Source organism: Homo sapiens, chromosome 14, assembly GCF_000001405.40.
Source record: "Homo sapiens chromosome 14, GRCh38.p14 Primary Assembly".
In the NCBI taxonomy this organism is placed as follows: Eukaryota; Metazoa; Chordata; class Mammalia; order Primates; family Hominidae; genus Homo; species Homo sapiens.
In genome coordinates, this window is record NC_000014.9 from 70,695,857 (window position 1) to 70,722,171 (window position 26,315).

The 26,315-nt window shown below is 45.3% G+C and overlaps 1 long non-coding RNA gene across 1 annotated transcript, besides 6 other annotated features; it reads left to right on the forward strand.

Moving 5' to 3' along the window:
• Positions 1,952 to 3,151: an enhancer, noted in NCBI's record as "MED14-independent group 3 enhancer chr14:71164525-71165724 (GRCh37/hg19 assembly coordinates)". NCBI's record gives its function as "activates an origin of replication core promoter dependent on BRD2, BRD4, P300/CBP and CDK7 cofactors, and independent of MED14, by STARR-seq in HCT116 cells {active_cell/tissue: HCT116}" and the evidence as "EXISTENCE:reporter gene assay evidence [ECO:0000049][PMID:35650434]".
• Positions 1,952 to 3,559: a biological region, named in NCBI's record as "MED14-independent group 3 enhancer GRCh37_chr14:71164525-71165724".
• Positions 2,558 to 3,059: an enhancer, noted in NCBI's record as "H3K4me1 hESC enhancer chr14:71165131-71165632 (GRCh37/hg19 assembly coordinates)". NCBI's record gives its function as "activates a minimal SCP1, AML or CMV promoter by ChIP-STARR-seq in naive and primed H9 embryonic stem cells {active_cell/tissue: H9 hESC(naive and primed)}" and the evidence as "EXISTENCE:reporter gene assay evidence [ECO:0000049][PMID:30033119]".
• LINC01269 (long intergenic non-protein coding RNA 1269) lies at positions 2,842 to 16,297 on the forward strand. The gene is made up of 4 exons (NR_125769.1): positions 2,842 to 3,000; positions 4,139 to 4,344; positions 7,839 to 7,931; positions 16,154 to 16,297. It is a non-coding gene; the product is annotated as a long intergenic non-protein coding RNA 1269 (long non-coding RNA).
• Positions 3,060 to 3,559: an enhancer, noted in NCBI's record as "H3K4me1 hESC enhancer chr14:71165633-71166132 (GRCh37/hg19 assembly coordinates)". NCBI's record gives its function as "activates a minimal SCP1, AML or CMV promoter by ChIP-STARR-seq in primed H9 embryonic stem cells {active_cell/tissue: H9 hESC(primed)}" and the evidence as "EXISTENCE:reporter gene assay evidence [ECO:0000049][PMID:30033119]".
• Positions 11,302 to 11,501: an enhancer, noted in NCBI's record as "active region_8660". NCBI's record gives its function as "activates an Ori minimal core promoter by ATAC-STARR-seq in GM12878 lymphoblastoid cells {active_cell/tissue: GM12878}" and the evidence as "EXISTENCE:reporter gene assay evidence [ECO:0000049][PMID:35858748]".
• Positions 15,156 to 15,205: an enhancer, noted in NCBI's record as "active region_8661". NCBI's record gives its function as "activates an Ori minimal core promoter by ATAC-STARR-seq in GM12878 lymphoblastoid cells {active_cell/tissue: GM12878}" and the evidence as "EXISTENCE:reporter gene assay evidence [ECO:0000049][PMID:35858748]".
• Positions 16,298 to 26,315: the final 10,018 nt, after the last annotated feature.

Here is a 26,315-nt window from a genome sequence, read left to right on the forward strand (position 1 = left end):
ACAGCCAGGCAGATGGGTTAGGTGAGCAAGTCACAGGCCAGGAAGAAGTGTGGGGACAGCTTAGCTTTTGAAGTGGGGACTTTGCCCATCAGGCTTCCAGGCCCAAATAAGTCCCCTCATCAAGGAAACTGTGTACCCCTCAGGCAGGCTTGCTCCAAAGATGCAGTCAAGCCAGGCAAAGACCAAGGAAAAGAGGGTCAAAGATCTCTCTGGGCAAATCCATTAGTGACAGCTGATCCCTTGGAGCCACTTGAAGTCTGCAGCTCCTGAAGCTCTGTTTATTAACTCTGTTTATTTCTCCAATTTGTCAAGTACTGTCTGCAAGCTCCAGCTTCCCTCATAAGTGCTCAGCTTCTATTCTGCCTCGCAGGCTTCACCAATTTGATTAGCATACTCTGCACTCCATCTTTCAAGTCGTTAATGAAAATACTGATGAATACTGGGAGTTATTCAGGTCCCTGGGAGGCCTCTCCTCCATCCCTTCATCTTTTTGCCTGGCAAGTAAACTGGAAGGGATGAATCCTCTTTTCAGATAGTCTTTGCCCACTGTTCAAGAGCTTTTGTCTAATCTTTTCATTCATTCATTTATTCAATCACTCATTTATTCATTTGCTAGGGCTAGAGGCTTAGCACAGTCCCTGGCACATGGAAAATGCTAAACAAATGCAAGCTCTTAGTGTTATGAGGTGCTGTGGAGAAACAGAGATGCACAGGATAGACCCCAGCCCTGAGCAGTAAGAATGGGAATAAGAATTACAGCTGCCAATTTTGAAATACTTGCCAGATACTGGGCTACGTACCGTCCAGACAATATCCAGCCCAGGCCAGGTATCATCCACCCTACAGAGGCATTTGTTGGTAATGATTAAAAGGGAGGATTCTGGCCAGGCGTGGTGGCTCACGCCTCTAATTCCAGCACTTTGGGAAGCCGAGGTGGGCAGATCACTTGAGGTCAGGAGTTTGAGACCAGCCTGGCCAAATGGTGAAACCCCATCTCTACAAAAATTAGCCAGGCATGGTGGCGGGTGCCTGTAGTCCCAGCTACTCGGGAGGCTGAGGCAGGAGAATTGCTTGAACCTGGGAGGCAGAGGTTGCAGTGAGCTGAGGTAGTGCCACTGCACTCCAGCCTGGGCAATAGAGTGAGACTCAGTTAAAAAAAAAAAAAAAAGTGAGGATTCTAAAGTCAAAATTCTTATTCTAGCTTTCCACTGACTGGCTTCTTTGCCTTAGATTCTCCCTCCGTACAGTAAGGGTACTATTAGTTATTTCATAGGGTTACTGTGAGGATTTAAATTATTAAATAATACAGAATTGGTACTTGGAGCACTGCCCAGCATATAATATGCACTGAACAAATGCTGGCAATTATTATTATTATTTGATGTAATACAATTACCCTTTATGAGGTAAGTGTTATTATCAGTGTTTTACCAACAAGAAAGCTGAAGTTTAGGAAGCCTGAGTAATTTGCCTAAAGTCCTACAACCAAATAATGGAACTCGGGTCCAAACCCAAATCTGATTCCAAATTCCATTTGCTTTATTACTGTATGCTAGAAAGGAAGAAAACATGCATACATACATACATAATTATTTTTACAAGACAGAAAAGCAAATGAGACTGTAGAGCACAGAATATTTTCATGGCGCATAGTAGATTCTCAATGAATCCAGCCAAATAATGATGATGTTGATGATGTCAGTAATGATGATGACAAAATTCTAAAGTGCCATACTGAAGTTTTAAAAAATTGTTTTAAGATGTCACAGGACAGAGAGAGATCATTTATGAAGAGAGGAATAGTTGGAGACTTTCCTGGAAAAGGTGGCATTTGCAAAGGCCTTAAAGGATGACCATGAGTTGGACACAAGGAGAGAAGAGAAAAAGGCACCCGGGTAGAGGAAACTGCAGGAGCAAAGGCTTACAGACATGAATGCTTAGGGTGTGTGTGAAAAGAAAGAGCAAGAAGTTCCACTGGACAGTACGTGTTATATGAAAGAAAATAGTTGGGACTGAGCTGGAAAGGAAGGAGACACACCCTTATTGACACATGAGGCCTTGCCCAAAAGACTGGTCAAAGCAGAGAGATTTCTCACACTTCAGAGTCTTCTGAAACTCACATTGGAGAAACAGCCATATGAGGGATTTGGAGATGAGGAATGGGGTTTCTTCAATATTCAGGCAAGAGTAAGTACCACAATGCTTATGCAATAAAGCTTCAGTTTGAGGTGAGGGTCAGTTTGAGGTGAGGGCTAGGCAGGGCTGACATTCAGCCAACACATGTGTATCAATATAGGTTGTTGAAAATATTAAACTGCTTTTCCTCCAGGCTGGTAAATGGCACTACCCTGAACCACCCAAGGCCCCTTCCCCTGGACTCCAGGACCTCCTCGACATCCTTGCATAAAAACATTAATTTCTGGCATTATTTTGATAATCACCCCTGGAGCTAGGGGACTTGGCTTGAGGATACTTTTGCATAGCATTTTACTTAACATTGAAAAACACAACAGTTTTATCAATAAATGGGTTGCAGAATGTAAAAGCAAACAGACCAACCGCTACACTCTGGCCTCAGATATTCCTCAAGCTAGATCCTTCTGGGGAACTAACTCTTTTCCTGCTGAGTCACTGTGGCTGCAGCCCTGCCCTTCCATGTGACTGTGTCATTTGGCATTATGGTTCCTCCTGAGCCCAAGGGAACTACAAAGGTCTGTATCAGGACACTGGGCATTGCCACTGTGCTAGGTGCACACACCTGACTGATCGTCTTGTGGGCTCCCGCATTTCCTGTTGCTCCAGGCATCAGATATATCCCTGGGATCCCTCCATTAGCTTGGCAATGCTATGGAAGTTGCCAGAAAAAGAATCCTAAGGAATTGGTTCTTGGCAAATCCTAAGGAATTTGGCTCAGGCATTTGTCTTCCTAATGAACTGGTGGGGAGGTAGCTGTGTTGGTACATCATCTCCAAGGCAGGATCCTGCCCTCTGAAGCTTGAGGTGAGAGCGGGGACATGGGGGGTGGTGGGGAAGCTTGGGACCTGCTCTTCCCTCTGCCATGAATTTTCTCTTTCTGCCCAAAGCAATGGCTTCTCTTAGCCCTGCATTTCAATTTGATTGCTCTCAGTCCCCACGGTCACCTTCCCCCACCCACAGCTCTTCACAAAAGACAGCCAAGAACAGGGAGGAAGGGATCCTGAGGCAGAGTCCCTTTGAGCCCAATTGAGGCTGGGGTCCCCGGGCAAATCTGCACCCTGTGCAACTCCTGGGACTGCAGATGTGAGTGATGCCCCAGGATGAACGGTGCCCCAAAAGCCTTGAGCGGGGGAACCCTGTGTGCCATCTGCCACTTCTCCCTTGGGAAGATAGCCCCACCACTGAGCCAGGGAGCACCAGGAGGAGGTCCTGGATCTCTAACATCTGTCATCCTGCTGGGTAATGATACTGTGTCTTTCATAAAAGTCAGAACTAGCCTGGGCAACATGGAGAAACCTCATCTCTACAAAAAAAAAAAAAAAGCTGGGCATGGCAGTCATGTACCTATCAGTGCCAACTACTTAGGAGGCTGAGGTGTGAGGATCGTTTGAGCCAGGAGGCAGAGACTGCAGTGAGCTATGATGACACCACTGCACTCCAGTCTAGGAGACAGAGTGAGTCCCTGTCAAAAAAATAAAAATTAAAAAGAAAAGCTTTCCATCCCTCCCTTTTAGAGAAAGCAAAGAAGACACATAGAAGACGGTAATTCACACACCTACAGGTGTGGCTGTGGTCACAGGCTTTGCCCAGGGACCTTTCCTGGGAGGGGAAAGAAAAGCCTATGAATTGCATTGAGGACCAGAACAAGGGCACAGGATATGGAGGGAGGTGACAACGAAATGGTTTTTATTGGCAATCAGTGCTTCACACACTGCGGTCCCTCCTACCAGTCCGCTAGCAGGTTCCTAGGGAAGCAACACGTCTTCTATTTGGCCATGCACACACCCCCACACCCCTCTACAGCAGGGTGCACTTTCTGTTCTCCTGCATGGCTGGCTTGATGCTCACCCTGCAGCCCAGTGACAGGAGGAATGACATCACGCCTGCCTGTGCAGAACCTACCTTCCATTCCCTATCTCAACTGTGCTCTTCTTCTCCACAGTGGCTCCCAAAGTCTCAAGCCCACTGTGCTGATTTGAGCATTTGGCTCAGCCTTTTCTGGTCATCACCAACGTTCACCTGGCCATGCTGATGGCAGCACGCATGGATCTGGCCATTCCCACAGCCTGGTCACCCCATGGTGGCCCTTGATTGAGCTTGCCATGGCACGGAAGGGGGCCTCTCCTACTCACCGATCTCCTTATTGAGGTACAGCACATTCATTTGTATTCATATGGTAGTAATACCTAATTTTTATAAAACTCCTCAAGTGCCAGGCACTGTCCAAAGTATTTACATACATTACTCATTTAATCCTCACAATCACATGATATATACTGTTAGCCCCAATTTACAGATTGAGGAAACTTGCCCATGGAGACTTTTGTTAACATATTCAAAGTTGCATGTAAGGAACAGGGCCCAGATTTCAACCCAAGCTACTAAGTTCCCAAGTGCATGTGTGTTCCAAAACATCATGCCATGAGGCTGCTGAAGATACACATGACTGGTATCCAAATCCTTCCTAGGAATAGGCAGTGATGCTATGGGTGGAGAAGCATGGAGGAGGCAGATCCTGGAAAGAGGGTGAGCAAAGGGCACAGAAAGGGGACACTGGGAGTCAGAAGCCAAAGGGGAACTTGGACTTCCCTCCGTTCTCCAAGGCCTGGCTCTCTTTGAAGATAGTGTGGGATGAGAGAGAGAACAGAATACTAAAGAACAGAATGAGAGCAGGTGAGCAGTGGGCCCAGAGGAGAGGAATGCACACAGGCTGAAGGGAGAGAAGAGACAAAATGGACATAGCACGTCTCACAAGCCAATGGGAGGAGCTGGGAACCCAGCATTAGCTGGAAGGTGCTCACCTTCCCTCTTGATGGTTGACTCAGTGCCGACACAGACTTTAGCTGTCAGCCTGAAAGCAATCAGCTCATCATTGCAGCCTCTTTATTGTCTAAATTTTTCTGAAAGCATGAGAAGCCACTGGCCTTTCAACAGGGCTACCGAGGACCTGGGGAAGAGAAGGGCAGGGAAGCAGAGACAGAGGCCAAACACAAGTGCTTCTGCCAGCAGGGTTCAGAGCACATCTGGCAACCCCAGCTCCCAGCCCTGAAGCAGGCACCAGGCTACAAGGACAGACATAGACCAGGGACAAGGAAAAGGAAGGGCCAGCCCCAAAGCCCTTGGGATGCCTTGTCAACAGGCCAGTGTCCTTTGGAAAACACTCCAAAGGAAACAACAAATGTGAGACAAAGGATTTCCTTCCTCTTCCCTCATGTCGGAAATTCCCTGAGTTTCTTTCCTGGACCACTTGTCTGTCTCTATAACAATCCTACACACTGGTCAAAGTTTTTAAGGCCAAAAGTTTTAAAGGAAATGGAAAGAGAAGTAAGATTGAAAAGATGTGTCAGAGTCTGTTGCTGTCACTGTGGGAGCTCACTCTTTCTTGTCACAGTGAACAAAGCTGAGGAAACCAAGATTTTTCCATGCATTTGCTGGGGTTGGGACCCATGGCCTAGAACTAGGGGTCAGCGGAAAACAGAGCATGCCCATTAGACAAAGGGGTTAGCGAGAAGGAAGATAGAAGCAGATGCCAATGGGGCAGGGAGCTGTAGGGAAAAGAGGGGGAAGAGGGAGGGATGGGGGGAAAAGGAGGAAGAAGTGGAGGAGGAGGGGATGAGGAGGAGAAGGAGGAACAAGAGGAAGAGGGGAAAGGAGGAAGAGGAGGGGGGTGAGAAGAAAGAGGAAGGAGGAGGAAGAGGAGGAGGAGGAAGAGGAGGAGGAGGAAGAGGAGGAGGAAGGGGAGGAGGAGGAAGGGGAGGAGGAGGAAGGGGAGGAAGAGGGGATGCACATGGAGAAGAGAAATCACCACTGCCTTGTCTGCCTTCACTTCTCCCTGCCTCTGGCATCCTCTACCTGCTGTCAGTCAAGTTCTTGCCACTGGCACTTAACTTGTCTTCCCTTTATGGACCTCAGCCATCCACCCCTCCAGGTCCTTCCTGCCTCTCACCTGGACCAGTCTGTGGCTTCCAATAATAGTCTTCTTAGCTTCAGTTTCTCCCATCTCCAGCTCATTCCTCTCACCACTCCAGGTTTAGCTTCCTAAAATATTATTTTCACGACATTATTCTCTATTATTTTTCATAACTCCCTCTTTAACTTCCATTTCCCAATTTGGTGTAATGGAAGGAGCCCGAGTTTTTCATAGACGGGTCCTCAAGGGTTCTCAGCCTCGGCACAGTTGATATTTGGGGCCAGATAATTCCTCACTGTGAGACCTGTCCTGTGCATATTTACATGTTCAGCAGCATTCCTGCTACCCTTGAGTGCATCCCTCCCCACTCCTACTTGTGACAACCAAAAATTTCTCAACAGTGCCACATGTCTCCTGGGTGACAAAGTTGCCTCTGGTTAAGAACCACTGACCTAGATTCAACTCCTGACTCTGTCACCTACTGACAGAGCTCCTTTGGGTAAATGACATAACTTCTCTGAAGCCTAGTTTCCTCAACATTAACACAGGGCTAATAATGCCTACCTTACAGAGCCATTGGGAGAATTAGATAAAATAATTCTAATATGTAACACAGACCTAACACAATACCTAGCACATGATAATAGCACAATGGGATGGGGCCCATTGTGTACAGTACAAACCGGAGATTCTACCATGGTTTAGCCCCATCCTAGATATATTAGAATAGCCATTTACTTGTTATTATAAGGAACAAAATAATAGTGGATTAAACAAGTAATAGTCCACATAAAATCAGTCCTGGCTGATAGAGTGCCCACGTGGTGTCTGGTGTACAGGCTCTTTCCAGCTTCATGTTCTGCCAACCTCAACACAAGGTTTCCATCCTATGGTCTAAGATGGCTGTTCCAGCTCCCACCACCACATGTCTGCCCTTCCAGGCAGCAAGAAGGAAAGAAGGGTGGAAGGGGAGAATATGCCTCTTTCCTTATGTGGGTACCATTGCGGTGCTGTACACATCACTTCCACTCACATTCTATTGGCCAGAGCCTAGTCACATGATCACACCCAACTACAAAGGAGACTGCGAAATATATACATATATTTATATATATATCCATAGCTATATTATATATATATATCTCCATGGAGATATATATATATATATATATCCATAGCTTCCACCCAGACCTCTTCTAAACAGCTTGTCCAAAGCACTAACAGAGCCAGCCATGGTGGTGTGCACCTGTAATCCTAGCTTCTCAGGAGGCTGAGCAGGGAGGATTGTTTGAGGTTAGGAAGTCAAGTTTGCAGTGCACTGTGATCATGCCAGTGTGGACTCCAGACTGGGCAACATAGTGAGACCCCATCTCAAAAAAAAAAAAAGTAATAACAGGTCTATTTGGTTATCCTCCTAGTACCATCACTTCAATATGCTCTAACCATATATATATATATATATATATATATATATATATATATATAGCTTATATATATATAGTTTTTATATATATATATAGCTTATATATATATATAGTTTATATATATATATATATATATATTTTTTTTTTTTTTGAGAAACAGAGTCTTGATCTGTCACCCAGGCTGGAGTGCAGTGGTACCATCCTCCCACCTCAAGTGATCCTCCTACTTCAGCCTCCCAAGCAACTGGAACTACAGGCATGCACCACCATGCCTGGCTAATTTTTTTCTTCTCTTTTTTCTTTTGTAGAGAAAGAGTCTTGCTGTGTTGCCCAGGCTGGTCTCAAACTCCTGGGCTCAAGAAATCCTCCCGCCTCAGCCTCCCAAAGTGTTGGGATTACAGGTATGAGCCATTGCACCTGGCCCAGAAATATCTTTAGTTATGTGGCAAAGTGCCCAGCTGAACCTTCTGTTATCACAGATCAGAGAACAAATATTGGGAAATGTTAGGTACTGAATGTTTGTATCCCCACTAAAATTCATATGTTGCTGGCATTTGGAGATAGGACCTTTGGGAATTAATTATTGTCAGATGAGGTCATGAGGGTGAAACCCTTCTCTGATAGGATTAGTGTCCTTATAAGAAGAGACATCTGCTGGACTCAGTGGCTCATGCCTGCAATCCCAGCACTTTGGGAGGCTGAGGCAGGCAGATTGCTTGAAGTCATGAGTTCCAGACCAGCCTGGGCAACATGGCAAAACCCCATCTCTACAAAAAATACAAAAATTTGTCAGGCATGGTGTCACATATATGTAGTCCCAGCTACTCAGGAGGCTGAGGTGGGAGGATCGTTTGAGCCCAGGAGGCAGAGGTTGCAATAAGCTGAGATTGCGCCACTGCACTCCAGCCTGGGCGATAGAGCCAGACCTTGTCTTAAAAAATAAAAATAAAGAAAGAAGACACATCACTCACTCTCCATCCACTATGTGAGGACGCAGAGAGAAGGCAGTCATCTACAAGCCAAGAAGAGAGCCTTCATCAGAAACGGACCCTGCTACTCCTTGATCTGGGACTTCCAGTCTCCAGAACTGAGAAAAACATACACTTCTGGTGTTTAAGCCACCCAGTTTGTGGTATTGTGTTATGGCAGCCCAAGCAGATAGATAAAGATTCTACCTCCAAACAGTCACATTCTGCGGAACAGGAGGTTCTGACTTCAACCTATAAATTTGTAGGGGGGACACAATTTAGCCATAATAAGCATACTATAGATGCCCAGGAAATACTTCTTATCTATCTGATTAAAAGACTCAGAAAGAGAAAGGCTAATCATACCGTTAACTAACTCCTGTGCACAGGGCCACTCAGCAATGTTTTGACATGTTACTCCTCCTCTTGCTTCCCCTTAGAACTCAATATTCTCTTTGGCTGTTAAGACCACTCTCTCTAAGTTCTTTTCCTTCTTCTCAGGCCACTCCTTCATCTCCTGAGTTCCTCTACCTCCGGCCATCCTTTAAAAGTCAGCATTCTATAGTCTTATTCTCCTCACTCTAAGCTCTTTCCACGGTGATCTCATGGACTCCACTGCTGCAATCATCGTTTGCATCTGATGGTTCTCAAATCCATAGCTTCCACTCACACCTCTTCTAAACAGCTTGTCCAAAGCACTAACAGAGCCAGCCATGGTGGTGTGCACCTATAATCCTAGCTTCTCAGGAGGCTGAGCAGGGAGGATTGTTTGAGGTTAGGAGGTCAAGGTTGCAGTGCACTATGATCATGCCTGTCAATAGTCACTGGTCTCCAGACTGGGCAACATAGTGAGACCCCACCTCAAAAAAAAAAGCACTAACAGGTCTATTTGGTTATCCTCCTAGTATCATCACTTCAATATGCTCTAAACTGGATAATTTGTCAATCCCCTACATCTTCTCCACCATGATTCACTCTCCTCCTCAATACACACACACATACACACACACACACACACATTGTTCCTTCTCTTAAGCTCATCTCAGTGAACCATATCACCATCTCCCCAGAACTAAAGTCTTCCTAAATTCCTATATTCAGTCCCCAAATCCCATCCAGTTTGACTTCTTAATACCTTTTTCCATCCCCTCTTCTACCAGTTTATTTTGGGCTGCTGTCATCTCTCATTTAGATTACAAAAACAATATTCTTTCTAATCCACCTGCCTTTAACCCACTCTTTTCCCCTCAATCAAAGTGATTTTCTAAAACATAAACACAATGCTACCACTCCTCTGATGAAAACCTTTTAAAAACTTGCCATTGGCCTTAGACACATTTTCGAAGTCCTTAGTCGGGCAAAATAATTCTTCACCCCTGGGTCCTTCTTCTCTACTCCACTTCATCTCCTGCCCACCCCCTACACACCTTACACTCTTTATTCTTCATTTACAGTTTCCCAAAGAGCTCTATACTCTATACCTCCAGCTTTTACACGTTTTTCACCATGTTTGGACGCCTCCTGGCTAATTTCTGTTGATATTGCAAATCTCAGTTTAGACATTACCTCCTTGAAGAAGCCTAATCAGCCCTTGAGAACCAATTCCTCTGGATCTTCTTCCCTGGAACCAACTGTCTCCCTCACCTTCAGGCACATTAACCCCTTCCTGACAGCTCATTTCCTAACACCTGTGCTCCTCTTATACTTTGTTCATATATTTATTAAAGCATTCATTCAGCTTTGCACTGCTGCTCCCCCACTGTATGCAGGCTCCTTGGGGACAGAAACTGTCTGGTTTCTGTGCTACAAGTCATCTGTTTTTTCTTCCATATCCCCTCCCTGCCCTTCTCTGCCCTCCTGTGAGCCCCAGGAGGCTGACCTGCAGTAAATACATAAATGGAATTCAGCCACTGCAGAGAAGAGGGTGAAGTCAAGGTCAAGGTCATCATTTCACCAGCTAGATGAGCCCTTCAACCAAAGCACAGCTTCTGCCCAGTGGCCCTCTCCATCTGACTCATTACTTCTGGATTCTGGGAATTGTCTCTCCCTTTATCCCTTCAGCCTAGGCTTGATAATATCTTCCTGATGTTACTGGCTCCAAGAGACAGCACTACCCCTTGTTTTCCTGCACTCTGCCCTCCCCTTTGAAAATAGTCTCTTTATTAAATTCTCCTCAAATTACCAATTACCCAATTTAAGTTTGCCAGGACCCAATTAATTTCCTCTTTTAGTTTCTGGCAAAGATTCTAGCACATAAATGTTGAATGAATGGATGAATGAATAAATGAATTGAGGAAAACAACTCAAGCCATTGCCTAGCTTGGCTTATTCATCCTCCATTTCACAAGGAGAAAAAAATGATTTCTCAGTTTAGAACCTGAAACTCGGTCTGGCATGGTGGCTCATACCTGTAGTCCCACCACTTTGGGAGGCCGAGGTGTGCACCTTATTTGAGCCCAGAAGTTTGAGACCAGCCTGGGCAACATGTCGAAACCCCTTCTCTACAAAAAAATACCAAAATTAGCCGGGGGTGGTGGCGTGTACCTGTAGTCCCAACTACTCAGGAGGCTGAAGTGGGGAGATCAATTGAGCCTGGGAGGTCGAGGCTTCAGTGAGCTGTGATTATGCCACTCCAGCCCGGGTGACAGAGTGAGACCCTGTCTCAAACAAACAACAACAACAAAAGAACTTGAAATTCAAATGAGACAGTTTTAGGGTCAGTGAAGAAGGGGATCCTTGGGACGCTTTTGGCAGAAGGCAGGTCTGGGGAATGGGAAAGAGGCTGTTGGGCAGATGTCCTTTGCTATAGCAGTCCCTGAGGTTTGCAGGGTGCTGGGCTCCCCAGAGAGAACTGTATTTCCTGCAATGACTCTGTGCCATGTTGGGTGGGAATGATTCTCATGCCTTCCTTTTCTTTCTCTTGGGCTTTCCCCTAGAGAAGGGATTAGAAAATCACTAGATGGTTACTTCCTCCAACCTCCCACTCAAATCCAGCAACCTGAAATTCAAGCTCAAGAGGTGTGGGAGGGAAAGCCCAGCAATCATCAAAGCAGGAGACTCTACATTCATGAGCAGATCTGGGCCAAGGCCACAGCTGGGGGGGCAGGATCCTCTGAGATGAGTCACAAACCACACACCCCTGTGGAGTCCTCCAATAGTCCCAGCACTGTTCAAGCTGGGAGGGACCTCAGTGCTCATTATACCATCAGAACCCGGCCCACGGAGGGGAAGCAATTGCCCAAGATCACACAGTAATCTGGGGGCAAAGGAGGTGTTAGAACCTAGGTCACCCAGTTAATAAACTTGCCATCTCATTGCCACACCACACTGCCTCCTGAGACCAGCGGATGCTTCCAAGATGTCAGGTATCAGCAGAAGGAACAGGCTCCCAAAAGAAGAGGCCAGACAGACAGTGCAGGTCTGCTGCGCTATGTGCTTTGGAGAAGAGAATTAGCACTAGTCAAGCTATGGTTACACACAAGGCCATGGCCATACATTGTTGGGGTCAATAGTACTGGTTCTGCAACACACACTGGGGCCTGTTGGGGGCAGTGGGGGAAGGAGACCATCAGGATGAATAGCTAATGCATGCGGGGCTTAGTACCTAGGTGATGGGTTGATAGATGCAGCAAACCACCATGGCACACGTTTACCTATGTAACAAACCTGCACATCTTGCACATGTACCCCAAAACTTAAAATAATAAAGAAAAAAAAATAGTACTGGTTCTGAGCTCATACAAATATGGGTCTGAATTTTGCGTGACCTTGAATAGGTGACCCAACTTTTCTAAGCCTCAGTTTCCTCACCTGTAAAATGAAGGTTAAAAGAATACTCGCCTCATAGGATTTTTGTGGGGACTAAATAAGGTGATTTATGTAAAGCACTTAGCACATTTAAAAGCTGGCACTGAATAAGCACTCAATATATGTTGGCCATTATTTTTCCCTATAGCAATGATATTGTATTTAATTCTCATGCCATCCTTTTAAGAGAGACAGGACATGAGCTTGGTAAGTTACTTGCTCAAATTTATGTATTCATTTATATTTGTTAAGCTCCTACCAAGGGGCTGGATTCCATTCTGGACTCTGGGGATATGGCAATGAATAAAGGCAACAAAAATCCCTGCCCTCATGGAGCTTTCATTGTAGTTGGGGCAGACAGACAATCAACAAAAAGTACAAGTGAATTATATGAAATGCCAGAGGGAGATAAGTGTCATTGAGAGACATAAAACAAGGGAGATGATGGAGAGAGGGAGGGGAGGGTTGCAGTTTTAGAGAGAGTGGTCATGGAAAGCCTCCACATGATGGTGATAAAGAAGCTAAAAAGAAATTATTTAGGCAGTTGATGAGGGTAAGAGAGTCCTCAGTCAGGCTTCCCTTTTAACAAAAAGCAGGCCCCAAATCATTTCTTTTCTAACAAAGAGCCACCTGTAAAATCAATCTGCAGACATAAATAAGCAAGCTGGAAGCTTGCATAGGTAAATGCCGGCAGCTGTGCCTATAGGAAAAGGCTACCTGGGGGCCAGGTGTGTTCAACATGGGAGGTTCCCTCTTCCCTTTTCTTTGTAACCACATGTGAAGTAGAAAGGCAGGCAACCCATGCCAGCCAGGTAGAGACTCCATCTGTATAATAAAAGATTAGGGTGGGATGGCCAGCTTCTTTGTGCGCTATGCGAATAGTGCACCTGGTCCTACCAATCTCGCAGGCCCTATGTAAATCAGACACCACCTCCTCAAGCTCGCCTATAAAACTCCATGCATTTCACCACAGAACCAGAAAACCCACTCAGGAGTCCTTCTTTCTCTCTCTGTAGGAGAGAGAACTATTCTCTTTTCTTTCTTCGCCTATTAAATGTCTGCTCTTAAACTCACTTCTTGTGCATCTGCGTCCTTGATTTCCCTGGTGTGAGACAACAAAGCTCGCATATTACCCCAGACAAATGACGCCGCTACAATGGCATTGAGCAAGGGTCTGAAGAAGGGAAGGGGGTAGGCTTGTGGCTCTCACAGGGAAGAGCATTCCAGAGAAAAGTAAGCGTGCGTGGAAAGGCCCCGAGGCAAGCAAAGGAGAGCCTGGAGGCGAGTGCTCTGAAACAGGAGTGCAGGGAGGAGCCATGGGCGCTGAAATTAGAAAACACCCTTAATTATGGTGCTGGGAGCTGAGATTCAAACTCAGAACTAGTTCCCAAGTCCTTGCTCAGCCCCATTGCAGGCACCCTAGATGACAGGCTGGTGTGATTGAGTTGATTCTGTTCTTTCTAAAGAGGGTTTTGTGTGGTCCAACACTGGATATCAGGTAGTGGGGGTGAAGAATTCCATTTCAAAGTAAGTGTAATGTCTCTATCTTCGGAATCAAAAATCAGAATATAAATTTCAATAAGTACATGAACTTACAAGCAGGTAGAACAGAGCATTTGAACGTAGGGCATCCAAGATATCCAGGACCTCGAATGAGCACAAAAGCTTTTCCATCCCAAAGATCCTCAGGCACTTTACCTTTATCCACCTCTAATAAGAAGCACCTCCTTCACTGGCCTGGGGAGGAGCAAGCTGGGATTCTTTAAAGTCCTCTACCTGCCAGGGCAGCAGCGAAGTCCAAGAGGGCAGAATGCAGGGGTGGGGGTTAGGTGGCCAGGGGTCCCAGAGACCCAGTCCTGACTCCGGGACACTGTTGGAACCCTCTGTGTGCCTTACTTTCCCTCCTCCAGCAAGAGGCCCTCCGTCTGCCCACCCACCTCCCAGGATATTCCTAGGAAGGATCAAAGAGGACCTCTTGAAAGGGCTGGCTCCCACTCCAGATAATTGCTAGGTAAACGCACCGTGTGTTTAGGATATAATGGGCCAGTGCAGACAGAGCTGAACAGAGGAAATTGCTCACTTCAGGGAGGGGCAGGAACTCTTCCAGGCCATTATGGTCCACTAAGTAAGCTGCCTTTGTGCCAGGTGAAATGTCTCCCTGATGACTTGAAGAGTGAACTGTCTCCTACCATTTCACACTGCATTTTGGTTACCGAGCTGTGATGCTCCCTCTTTCTCTCCGTGAAACCTCTGCAGCAGGGTCGCCATCACACTTCCGGCAGAAAGACTGGGAAAACAAGCCACTGATTTCAAAGAGGGTGCAAATTTATGTGGAAGGAGGTAGGGGAGGGAGGGTGAGAGACTGCTCTGGAGCTCAGTGAGGGACCTCAGGGTTACACAAGAAGGGACTCTGCGCTGGGTTCCAGGCCTGATTCTTTTATTTTCTCTTTTTCTTTCTTTCTCTTTCTTTTTCTTTCTTTCTTTTCTTTCTTTCTTTCTTTCTTTCTTTTCTTTCTTTCTTTCTTTCTTTCTTTCTTTCTTTCTTTCTCTCTCTTTCTTCCCTCCCTCCCTCCGTCCCTCCCTCCTTTCTTTTTCTTTCTTTCTTTCTCTCTCTCTCTCTTTCTTTGTACAGAGTTTTGCTCTTGTCACCCAGGCTGGAGTGCAGTGGTACAATGGCGTGATCTTGGCTCACTGCAACCTCTGCCTCATGGGTTCAAGCAATTCTCCTGCCTCAGCCTCCCGAGTAGCTGGGATTACAGGGGCCCACCACCGTGCCTGGCTAATTTTGTATTTTTAGTAGAGATGGGGTTTCACCATGTTGGCCAGGCTGGTCTCGAACTCCTGACCTCAGTTGATCCACCCGCCTTGGCTTCCCAACGTGCTGAGATTACAGGTGTGAGCCACTGCACCTGGCCCCTGTTTATTTCTTGATGCCATGCATCAGCTGAGTGGCTTTGAGGAAGTCAGTTCATGACTCCGGCCCTCAGATTTCTCATATAGAAAATGAGAAGATAATTGCTCAGTTCACACCCAGCTCTAAAATCCTGTGATTTTAGGCAGAAGAAGAGATTGCATGGAGCATTTTAGTGACTGGGATGGCTCATGACTGGGCTGAGATGATCGACCTTTATTTCAGATCCAGAAACCTCTTCACCTGAACCTCATTGCCACAAGCCAGACCGAGACCTAGACAGGGATTTTCACACCAACAATGAAAAACACACTTAAGGAGCCTGATTATTTTTACCTGGAGCTTGGAGGCCCAGAGGAAAAACATACAAATAGGGCTTGGGACATACACACACTCAGCTTCTGAATTTTAATATCAGAAGATCATTATCATAAGCTGCATCAACAACTTGGGATCCCAACTGGTGCCAACTAAGCCTTCTCGCTTAATTACATGCTTAGAGCACTACAATTTAAAATCCTGGCAACCATGTTCTATGCAATTAAAAACAAACTCACAAACAGGCCTTACTTGTGCCTCTAATATGTTGTTAAGAGTTTGTCCCTGCTGCTCACCCACTTTCCTGGGAACACTGCTTTTCACCAAAGAGCCTCAGTCCCCACATCCCAAATGCCTGTCAGTCACCCTCCAGCTTCTGTCAAGAGGCCCATGGCCAAGTGTCATGCAAACCAACAGCTTTGCTTATTCCCACTCTGAGCTTCCAGATAACTATGCCTCCATTAATCCCTACTGAGGAACACAAGATTCCTCAACTACATTGGGGATGCTGAGTGGATTTTGCCTCATCAGTGGCTTTGAAAGTTGGAAGTGAAGTATTGGGATCTAGCCGTGATTGGCCTTCATTCATTAATCAGTGCTGCTTTCTCTACCTTTCCAGGTTTATGAGCAGGAACCATTGCTTAAGAAATACTCACCATCAAGCAGAATCATGAGGGACAGAGCACCATGAACTCAGGGAGCAAAGAGAACACTGTGGGGGTATTCTTAGGGATGGAATCTCCACATCAAATCTATTGGCAAGACCTGGATGTTCTTGGAAATGTGAAACATTGAAAATGTTGAACATTAATCTTCTCCTCATCTCCAGTATCAACACCCAACTGAGGCCACCATCATTTCTTGGGTTTGGGTGGACAATTGCAACAGCCACCTATGACTGCTGTGACTTTGTCTATGACTCCAGTTAATCCATCCTCCACTCCACCGCCTGAATGATCTCTTCAAAATTCACAGTAGGTAATGACACCCCAGTGGAAAATGCTGATTGCCTTCTACTTAGAATAAATCCCAAATTCTTTACTGTGGCCTATAAAACCCTCAGTGCAATCCTCTCTGGATGAGCTCATCATTTTTAAGTCTCAGGTTAAATTAGCGGTTCTCAAAAGGGAGCAGTGTTGCCCTTTAAGAGACATTTGGCAATGTTGGGAGATATTTTTGGTTGTCATAAGTGGAAGTCAGGGGGTGCTACTGGCATCCAGCGGTCAGAGGCCAGGGATGCTGTTGAACATTCTGCAATGCACAGAATAGTCCCCTATAGCAAAGAATTGTCTGACCCAAAATATCAGAAGTGCCAAAGTTAAGAAATCCTGACTTAAAATCACTTTCCTGTAGTGACTTTATCTGACCATCTTTATCTCAAATTGGTTTCCATCCCCTATGCTCTTCATACCTCTAACCACAATTTGCAATTCCCTTCTTATTGTCATTTACATACATGTAAGCTCCACATACCGGGCTATGGACAAAGTATGTCTTGTCCAACTTTGTTGTCTCAACATGTACCACTTAGCAGATGCTCAATAAATATTTGTAGGAAGAAGAAGGGCAGGAAGGGGGAAGGGCAAGAAGAAAAGGCAGTCAAGGTGAAGCAGCACCCCTGCCCTTCTGAGCCCCTTTCAGTATCATGCTGACTCTCATCTTCATGTGGAAAACCTGCCATTTGACTGGGCCAGTTGCACTGATTATGTTTTACCGGAGAATGAGCCGAGTGGACTAGGAAAACACTTTAAAACTCAGTTGTGGGGCAGGGTAGGGGGTGGGGGCATTGGCATGAAAATGTTTAGATTTCTTCAGTATTGACTTTGTTTTGTCAAACAAGTCCTCTTGAGGGTAGGGACCATGTCTAGTTCAGTCTCCGCTGTAGCTCCAGCACCTTGCATAGTGCGTAGTGCAGACATAGTGGGTTTCCCAAAAGTGTTTGTGAATATGTGAGTACCCCCCCAGCCTGCAGGGGAGGGAGGGTTGATACCCCACTGCACCCACTTCTTCAGCAGCTCATAAACCCACTTATGAAGCCAACCTTCAGGTCAGACTCTTGCTTTTCTTCTTATTAGTGGCCCTTAAAAGAGCATTGCCAATAAAAACTTCAGCTCTGGAAAAGAATTCTGGCCTTTGTCAGCTATTTCCGACAGCCCTTGAAAGAAAAATAAATTTGGCTCCAAGTTTTCCCATGCCTGTTTATAGTTCCTCACACAAAGCTCTGCCGTTTATACAATTTTGTCACCCAGAGACCCAGCTAACTCTATCTCAGAGGCAGCCTCTCCCGTCCCCACCTCAGCAGCCTCCACTCCAACTTCCTCCTCCCCACTTAGGGCTTCCAAGGACCCATGAGGATAAGCTGCAGGCTGTGAGGTTTCTATAGTACACTCCTTCCTGGAATGACTCTGCCTAAATTTCACCTTTAAGCCTCAGAGATTCATGTTATCTTATTAGCAACACAAAATGGAAAAGACTGAACCCTTTCAGTTTAATCTGCTGAGTTTCTGAGGCTGCAGGGAACTCCTCCAAGGAATGTGCTTAGCTTTTGTTAGAGGAAGTTAAAAAAAAAAAAGGCCCAACATATTATTTGGCATAAATCTACTCATCTAATTTAGATTGTAGAAACCTATTGATTAGGTTCCCAAGCCTGTCACTTTTTCCCTATAGCGACTACAAATATCACTGCCATTGGGAAATTTCACATCATAAAACTCACTACTATGATCCCACTTTCATATTTTCCCTCTCTCTCTCCATCTTTTCCTTTCTCACGCACACAAAATCTGTTCTTTGGTCTCATCAGCGCCATCTGGTGGTGTTTCAAATGTTTCAGTACCCTTTAAAAAAAAAAAAAAAAGATTGAAGACCCCAAAGAGCACCTGAGTATGTGTCATATCTATCACAGTTATCCTATTCAAAAATGAAACTGGCCAGGCACGGTGGCTGACGCCTGTAATCCCAGCATTTTTGGGAGGCCAAGGTGGGCGGATCACTTGAGGTCAGGAGTTCCAGACCAACCTGGCCAACATGGTGAAACCCTGTCTCTCCTAAAAATACAAAAATTAGTGGGGCACGGTGGCAGGCACCTGTAATCCCAGCTATTCGGGAGGCTGAGGCAGGAGAATCAATGGATGTCATATAATGAAATGATGTCATATAATGAAATGTGTCAACATTGAAGATCTGTATAACTCAAGGAAGCAATATTTCCCAAATGGCCGTGAATGAGATTACAAAATCATGCATTCAAAATGCATTCAATCCAGGAGAATCGCCGGAACCCAGGAGGCAGAAGTTGCAGTGAGCTGATATTGTGCCACTATACTCCAGCCTGGGCGACAGAGCAAGACTCCATCTCTAAAAAGAAAAAAAGAAAAATGAAACTGAAAACTTTTGGAAAACATTTATTGATCCATTTAAAAATAACAGTAATAAATGTTTAACATAAATAACAAATTTTAATAAAAAAATCTGTATTTTCCAAAACAAAAACAAATTTAGGAAGAGTGGCATTATTTTACATTTTTGCACATCTCTTTAATGTCTGACTTAAAAGACACCTAAATTTTCATATCTGCTTCTGTGTTCAATCTGTTCCAATATCTTGTTTTAGTTGAAACATATGAAGAAAATCTGGCCTCACACAGATATGTAGTTGGAAAAGAAGTGAGTATTTTAATAGCCTTTTAAGATCATTGTGGGTATTCTTCTTTGATATTATTCCAAAACTCCACAAGTTATGGTTTCTTAAAAGTTAGCTGGAATGGAGAATCTGAAACCACATCCATGAACTTTTGGTACTGTTATGTTAAAACCTGCTGTTCTATCTTCGACTTTGAATGCATTTTTGCATGCATGATTTTGTAATCTCATTCACTGCCATTTGGGAAATATTGCTTCCTCGAGTTATACAGATCTTCAGTGTTGACACATTTCATTATATGACATCAAAAAATCACATTGACTGATACTGTTACCAATTTCCTAAAAAAGTCTTTAGGTACCAAGAAACTGCCAAAGCCAGGTATGGTGAGGGCTCATGCCTGTAATCCCAGCAGGGGAGGCTGAGGCAGGTGGATTTCTTGACTCCAGGAGTTCCAGACCAGCTTAGCAAGATCCCGTCTCTACCAAAAAAAAAAAAAGAAGTAGAAAAGAAAAAGAAAAATTAGTCGGGTGTGGTGGCGTGTGCCTGCAGTCCCTGTAGTCCCAGCTACTTCGGAGGCTCAGACAGGAGGATTGCTTCAGCTCAGGAGGTCAAGGCTGCAGTGAGTCCTGATCATGCCACTATACTCCAGCCTGGGTGACAGGGTAAGATCCTATCAGGGAGGAAGAAAGGAGGGGAGGAAAAAGGGAAGAAAAAGAGAGGAAAAGGGGAGAAAGGGAAGGGAAGGGAAGGGTCAAGTTCATGATAGACAAAAATTTTCCAAAATTCTAATTTTCAATTGAAAGCTTGAATTTCATCGTTGGCAACAAATACAGTTGTTTTCAGTGAAGTGACAGGCTAACTTTGTTCACTTGCAAGAAAATATCTGTGAAATACTCAATCCTGAATAACCATAGTTTGCTTGACAATTATCCTTTCAAGTAAAAACAGTGTTTCATTTAAAAAAGAAAAAAAAAAAGGCCGGGCACGGTAGCTCACGCCTGTAATCCCAGCATTTTGGGAGGCCAAGGTGAGCTGATCACGAGGTCAGGAGATCGAGACCATCCTGGCCAACATGGTGAAACCCCATCTCTACTAAAAATACAAAAATTAGCTAGGTGTGGTGGCACGTGCCTCTAATCCCAGCTACTTGGGAGGCTGAAGCACGAGAATCGCTTGAACCCAGGAGGCAGAGCTTGCAGTGAGCCAAGATCACACCACTGCACTCCAGCCGGGTGACAGAGGGAGACACTCCGTCTCAAAAAAAAAAAAAAAAGAAAAAGAAAAAGAAAAAGAAAAAGAAAAAAAAAGGCAGCTAGTTCAGCTCGCAACTCAATCACATATGTGCTTTTCCTCCAGGCAAACTTGTAGTTCAATACACAGCAGAAATACTTGATGTGACGATGTGACTTCACATTTCATCTCAGAGAATGTTAAAAAGATATAGTTAAGCAAGAGTCAGGATTTAATTAACATAGTAATGTTACTAAGTAACTATTGCTTTATCAAGGGCATTCTTAAGTGAAACTGGCATTCCCATTACTTCAAGCGCCTGGTGATGGAGAATACAAGGAGTGCTGTCCCATTTGCTGTCTCTGCCTGTCCCAAGATGCCAGGAGTTTGACCTGCCGTGCTTTTCGGTGCAAATGTCAACACAGTGAAAAAGATAAACAACAGTTTAGTGTTATTGTGAAAATAGTTTTGACCTCCCCTATCTCCAGGGATCGACGGGCCAAACATTGAAAACTGTTACATTACTGGGACAAAACTCCCAAGATGGGTTGTAGGAGGAAGGAGGGAGGGGCTGTTATATTCTGACTTTAATATCATTTGCTCAGAGATAGGAGCATAGAAAAGATCCCCTATGCCTGAAATTTATCTCCTAAACCTCTCACCCCACATGTTATTTTCCATTTCCTTTTCTGATTCTGCATAGAATGTGTCCTGAGAGACACATTTTTTTCCTCACCCCAGGGCAAACTAAATAGCACAGGCAGAACCCAGCTGGAAGCACCCTCTTCATCTCCCACCTATGTAAAAATTAATCTTTTTTTCCCTACCAGTTATTGCCTAACACTAGTGCTTATCACAAAGAAAAGGCTGCAAGAACAAAGTGCTCTGTGAGATAAGGAATTTAAGATAAGTGAGCTGGCAGAGGATAAAATCCAATCCCCTTCACACAGCTGCTCCCAACACCTGGCTTCCCCATTAACACCACTCCCAGGACTATTTAAGTCTTAGTCATCTTCCAGGTCTCAACTGGGACACCACTTCCCACCTCTTGTCTGCCTATCTGTGCCTATCTCGCTCCCTCTCTCCATATAGGAAATACAGATATAGAGACAGAGATAGACATTAACAGATAGATAGATATTGAAATATAGATTATCATAGTGCCTTAATTGTTGGGTAAGCTGATTTTCCCACTAGATGGCAAATTCCAAAAAAGTGGCAGTCATTTTCTGTCCCATTCACCCTCAGGGGTTTTAAAACACTGAGATGATGTGTTTGAGCATTAGTTAAGGACATGCTTTTAGATGGGGAATGCCTTTCCTTACAGCACCATTCCCCACTGCATCTTACTGTCATAAGAGTGCCTCACTCATTGACCTGTCTGGTCCCACACAGAACTGGAATTTGCCAGTCACACTGCAACTGGGACCAGAGTCATCCCTCGATAACCATTTGTCAGAGGATTGGAGGGATGAGTCTTTTCTTTTCAGGTTGGGTAAAGTATAGAACTAGGTGGGAATCGGTGCTACGTTATCGGGCCACTCCACACTAGCCATGGCCCTCAGGATGTCCCTCCATCTACAGGTGTCCCGTGGTGCTTGGTACCCTTCTCCACTGCATCCTAGCGTGTTCAGTCTCACCAGGGAGACTATCATCTTCTAGGGGATGGAATCTGATCTCTATTCCTTTCTTCTCTTTCCCATCTTGCCTTGTCTCTTTCCCTCACATTTGACCACTTATTTATTTATTTTTTTTTTAGATGGAATCTCACTGTATCACCCAGGCTGCAGTGCAGTGGTGCCATCTCGGCTCACTGCAACCTCTGCCTCCCGGGTTTGAGCAATTCTTCTGCCTCAGCCTCCAGAGTAGCTGGGACTACAGGCACATGCCACCACACCCAGCTATTTTTTTTTTTTTTTTTTTTGGTATTTTTAGTAGAGACAGGGTTTCACCACGTTTGCCAGGCTGTTCTTGAACTCCTGACCTCAGGTGATCCACCTGCCTCTGCCTCCCAAAGTGCTGGGATTACAGGCGTGAGCCACGGCACCCATGGTGACCACTTACAGGTTGCAGTCTTCTTAAGACACCTAGGTAGATAGCCAGAAAGTCAGTTCATAAAGAGGATAATACTCTTTCAAGCAGGAGGCCTCCATTCCTGGAAAATCAAGTGTTTCAGGAAGCAGAGAAGTGTTGAGTCTTAGGGATGGGGAAGGACTGGAGGCAGGGAAATTGTGATGGGCATTTGGGAAGGTAGACTCAGGTCAGATTGGGTGGGGCCCTGAAGGCCGTGCTCAAGAATGTGGATCCTTTCCTGCAGACATTGGGCGTGGCGTGATCCAACCTGTGTTCCATGAGCACATTTCCTAGGCTGATCTTTCTCAAGCCTCCCCATTGTCCTTACGTCACAAAGAAGTGTCCAGTGCCTCCCACTGAGACCCCATAACAGGCACTCCTGGTTGGATAGCAGCAGTGTGACCAATGACTGAGAGGAGGAGGGGACAGAGTGGCAGACCCCCACCCTCATCTCCACCCCACCCCCTTATGCCAAAACATGTTCTCCAGCTTGAGCTAGTTGGACTAGATCGGGTGGGGACCAAGGGCTCAGAGGATTAGGACATCAGCCCCAGCCTTGAATGAACCACATTCCATAGGCACGTAAACAGGGTGTGGTGGACGCAGGCCTGGTGCAGCTCCTTTGACAGAGGGGTGTGCACTTGTGTTGTAGGAACGTGCTATTTGCCTGTGCAGGACCTGACATCCCTAACCAGCTGTGCCCCTAGGAAACCCCCACAGCACCTCCTTCTTAGAATGTTCTCTGTACATGTGCCCTCACTGGATTCTGCTAGCAGTCTGCAGGTGCTCACCATTCCAGCACCAACTCTCCACTGGAGGGAAGGGACGAAGAAAGGGGTGAGGGGGACCAGGAAGTTGGCCCCAGTCCTACCTTCCATAAGCAGGGCTTCTGGAATCACCTCGTTATACTGCTTAGGGCAGGGGACAACCTTGAAGCCAGTGGCCTCTGGAACACCTGCAAAGGAACCTGGTTAGCATGGGAAAGCATCCTCAAACTATTTTATTTGCCATTGTTTTGCTGAATAGAAAAGTAACATATATTCTTTTTTTTAAAGTTTAATAAATTCCAAAAGAACATTTTTAAACCATCTATGATACCTCCCCACAAAGATAGCTGACTTTCTCCCAGTCTTTTTCCTGAGCCTATCAGGTGTGTATTTTTTTAAATGTAAATATATTTTCTGTATATAATAGGGATCCAATTGCTTTTGAAATTTTTTATATCCTACCATTTAGCTTATCATGAGCATTTTCACATTTTCTTAATTATTCATGAAAAATTTAGCTTCATGTATAACCTGTTCATGAATAATCTAATGGCCACAAAATATCTCACATGGTCCATGATAAAATCAGCGCTAGGAACCCAGGGTGAGGCATTACAAGGTTCACTTTTTTAAAAAGGTGGACACAGAATTGTGCTGCCTGAGAGGAGAGGGAGCATCTCACCATCTCCCGCCTTGGTATCTTTTATTCTTTAGGACTCAGCTCAGGTTCTGTCTCCTCCATGAGGTGAAGCCCCAGCTCAGGCTAAACCCAGCCCACAGTGCTCCTTTAGCACCCCATCATGGCGCTGACTACATTACATTAAACAGATTTCTTCATATTTTGGTCTTTCCCACCAGACAATATAGTCTTTGAGAACCTGGCTAAAGAAGCTGCAAATCTCTAGTGTCCAGATGGTACCTAGCACAGGAAGGTACTCAATAAATGCCTTGAAAAGCAGCAGACTTTAAGCAACCTCCTGTTGTCAGGCATTTAGACAGTTTTCTAGTTTGTAAAGAGAGCCTTCTTGCTCTCACTATATCAGATTCCATGTTGTTGGGTGAGGAAGAGGCTGGCAGAAGACCCGCATTCTTATTTGGGTCATTTGTAGTCTCTTGAATGATCCTGTAAATAACATTGGGATGACTTGTAAATCTTTGTCTGCATCCAACTCAATCTTTTTTTGTTTGTTTTTTTTGTTTGTTTTCGAGACGGGAGTTTCGCTCTTGTTGCCCAGGCTGGAGTGCAATGGCGCGATCTCGGCTCACCGCAACCTCTGCCTCCCAGGTTCAAGCGATTCTCCTGCCTCAGCCTCCCGAGTAGCTGGGATTATAGGCATGTGCCATTACACCCGGCTAATTTTGTAATTTTAGTAGAAACAGGGTTTCACCATGTTGGTCAGACTGGTCTCAAACTCCAGACCTCACGTGATTCAACCGCCTTGGCCTCCCAAAGTGCTGGGATTACAGGTGTGAGCCACCGTGCCAGGCCCCAACTCAATCTTATGATACAAACGCAGATGCCAGAATCAGACAAGTCCCAGCTCCACTATTTGCCAGTTGTGCGGTCTTGGGCATGTTACTCAACCCTCTGGCCCTCACTTTCCTCAATGTAAAATGGAGATAATAATGGATGTACTCTTAAAGATGTTGAAATATTGTAAATGAGATAACATAGGTCAGGTCTTAGTGCAACAGTTGACACATTAAACTAGTTTTTATTACTATGGAGTAGTAACAGAATTACTAGGCCTGTGTTGTAGTTTTTAATACCATATGGCCAAGCTGCTTTCCAGAAACATGCAGCAATTTGTATACATGTTAACAGTATATGGTGCCTGGCTGGGTGACTGGCTCATGTCTGAAATCCCAGCACTTTGGGAGGCCGAGGTGGGGAGATCACCTGAGATCACAAGTTTGAGACCAGCCTAACCAACATGGCGAAACCCCATCTCTACTAAAAATACTAAATTAGCTGGGCATGGTGACATGTGCCTGTAATCCCAGCCGCTGGGGAGGCTGAGGCATGAGAATCACTTGAACCCAGGAGGCGGAAGTTGCAGTGACCTGAGATGGCACCACTGCACTCCAGCCTGGGTGACAGAGCGAGACTCTGTCTCAACAAAACAAAAATAGTATGGCACCTTTCCATATGGCACCAGCAAGGAGATTGGTCAATTTTTCATTTTTGCCCAGTTGGCTTTACAAAGGTTATCTGGATCCTGGTGAAACTAACCTCAAGGCTCAGCAAAATGTCAGCTTTGCCCTCCCAATCCAAGCATCCAGCACAGAACCCCACCTCGGAGTCACCCCTCCTCAGGTGTCAGAGAAAAGAGCAAAGAGGTCAGAGAGAAATGAAAGGTTACAGCATTCACACAAGGGTGTCTGAATATTTAAGTTCAGAAGTCGTTTTCTTCCACATGTAGCTGAGTGATGAAATAGAGGATTCAAGCAGTGAAGAATGGCCTCAAACAAGATTCATCCTGTCTGCTTTTATCCTCATCCCCACCTAACACAAAATCATGGAAAGTGAGAGCACAAAGGCTGCTTTGTGATCAGCTTGCTCCAGAAGAGGCCCAGAGAGGTTAAGTGCCTTGCCAAGGTCACACAGCTCACGAGTGCCATTAAGAGCATCAGAGCTACAAGGAATCTGTGACTCACAGCCAGCAAATCCTATTCACATGTCTATAACTCCATCTGTTTGTCCTCTTAGCTCCATTCACAACTTCACCAGGAATGTCAGCATGGTTAGTTGTAGGGAGTAGGAGACAGCACATATTCACAAGTGGCTCTGAAAGCCAAAATCCACGAGCTGTGTGAAAATCAACTGTGAGCAGAGACTGCACCGTTCAGCACCATCATTCACAAAGGCTCCCATGGTCCTGCTGGAGGCTCCTAGACCCTCAGAGAAGCTTCTCACCCACCTCCTCTTTTCTACAGCATTTCCGTCTTTCTCCAGTTCTTTCTTTCCTACATATGAAAACTCCCTGGAAACAGCTCAGTTACTTGAGCACCTGCAGGCTGGAAACAGAGGAGAGAGACTCATGGCCTTCAGTTTAATTAAAAAG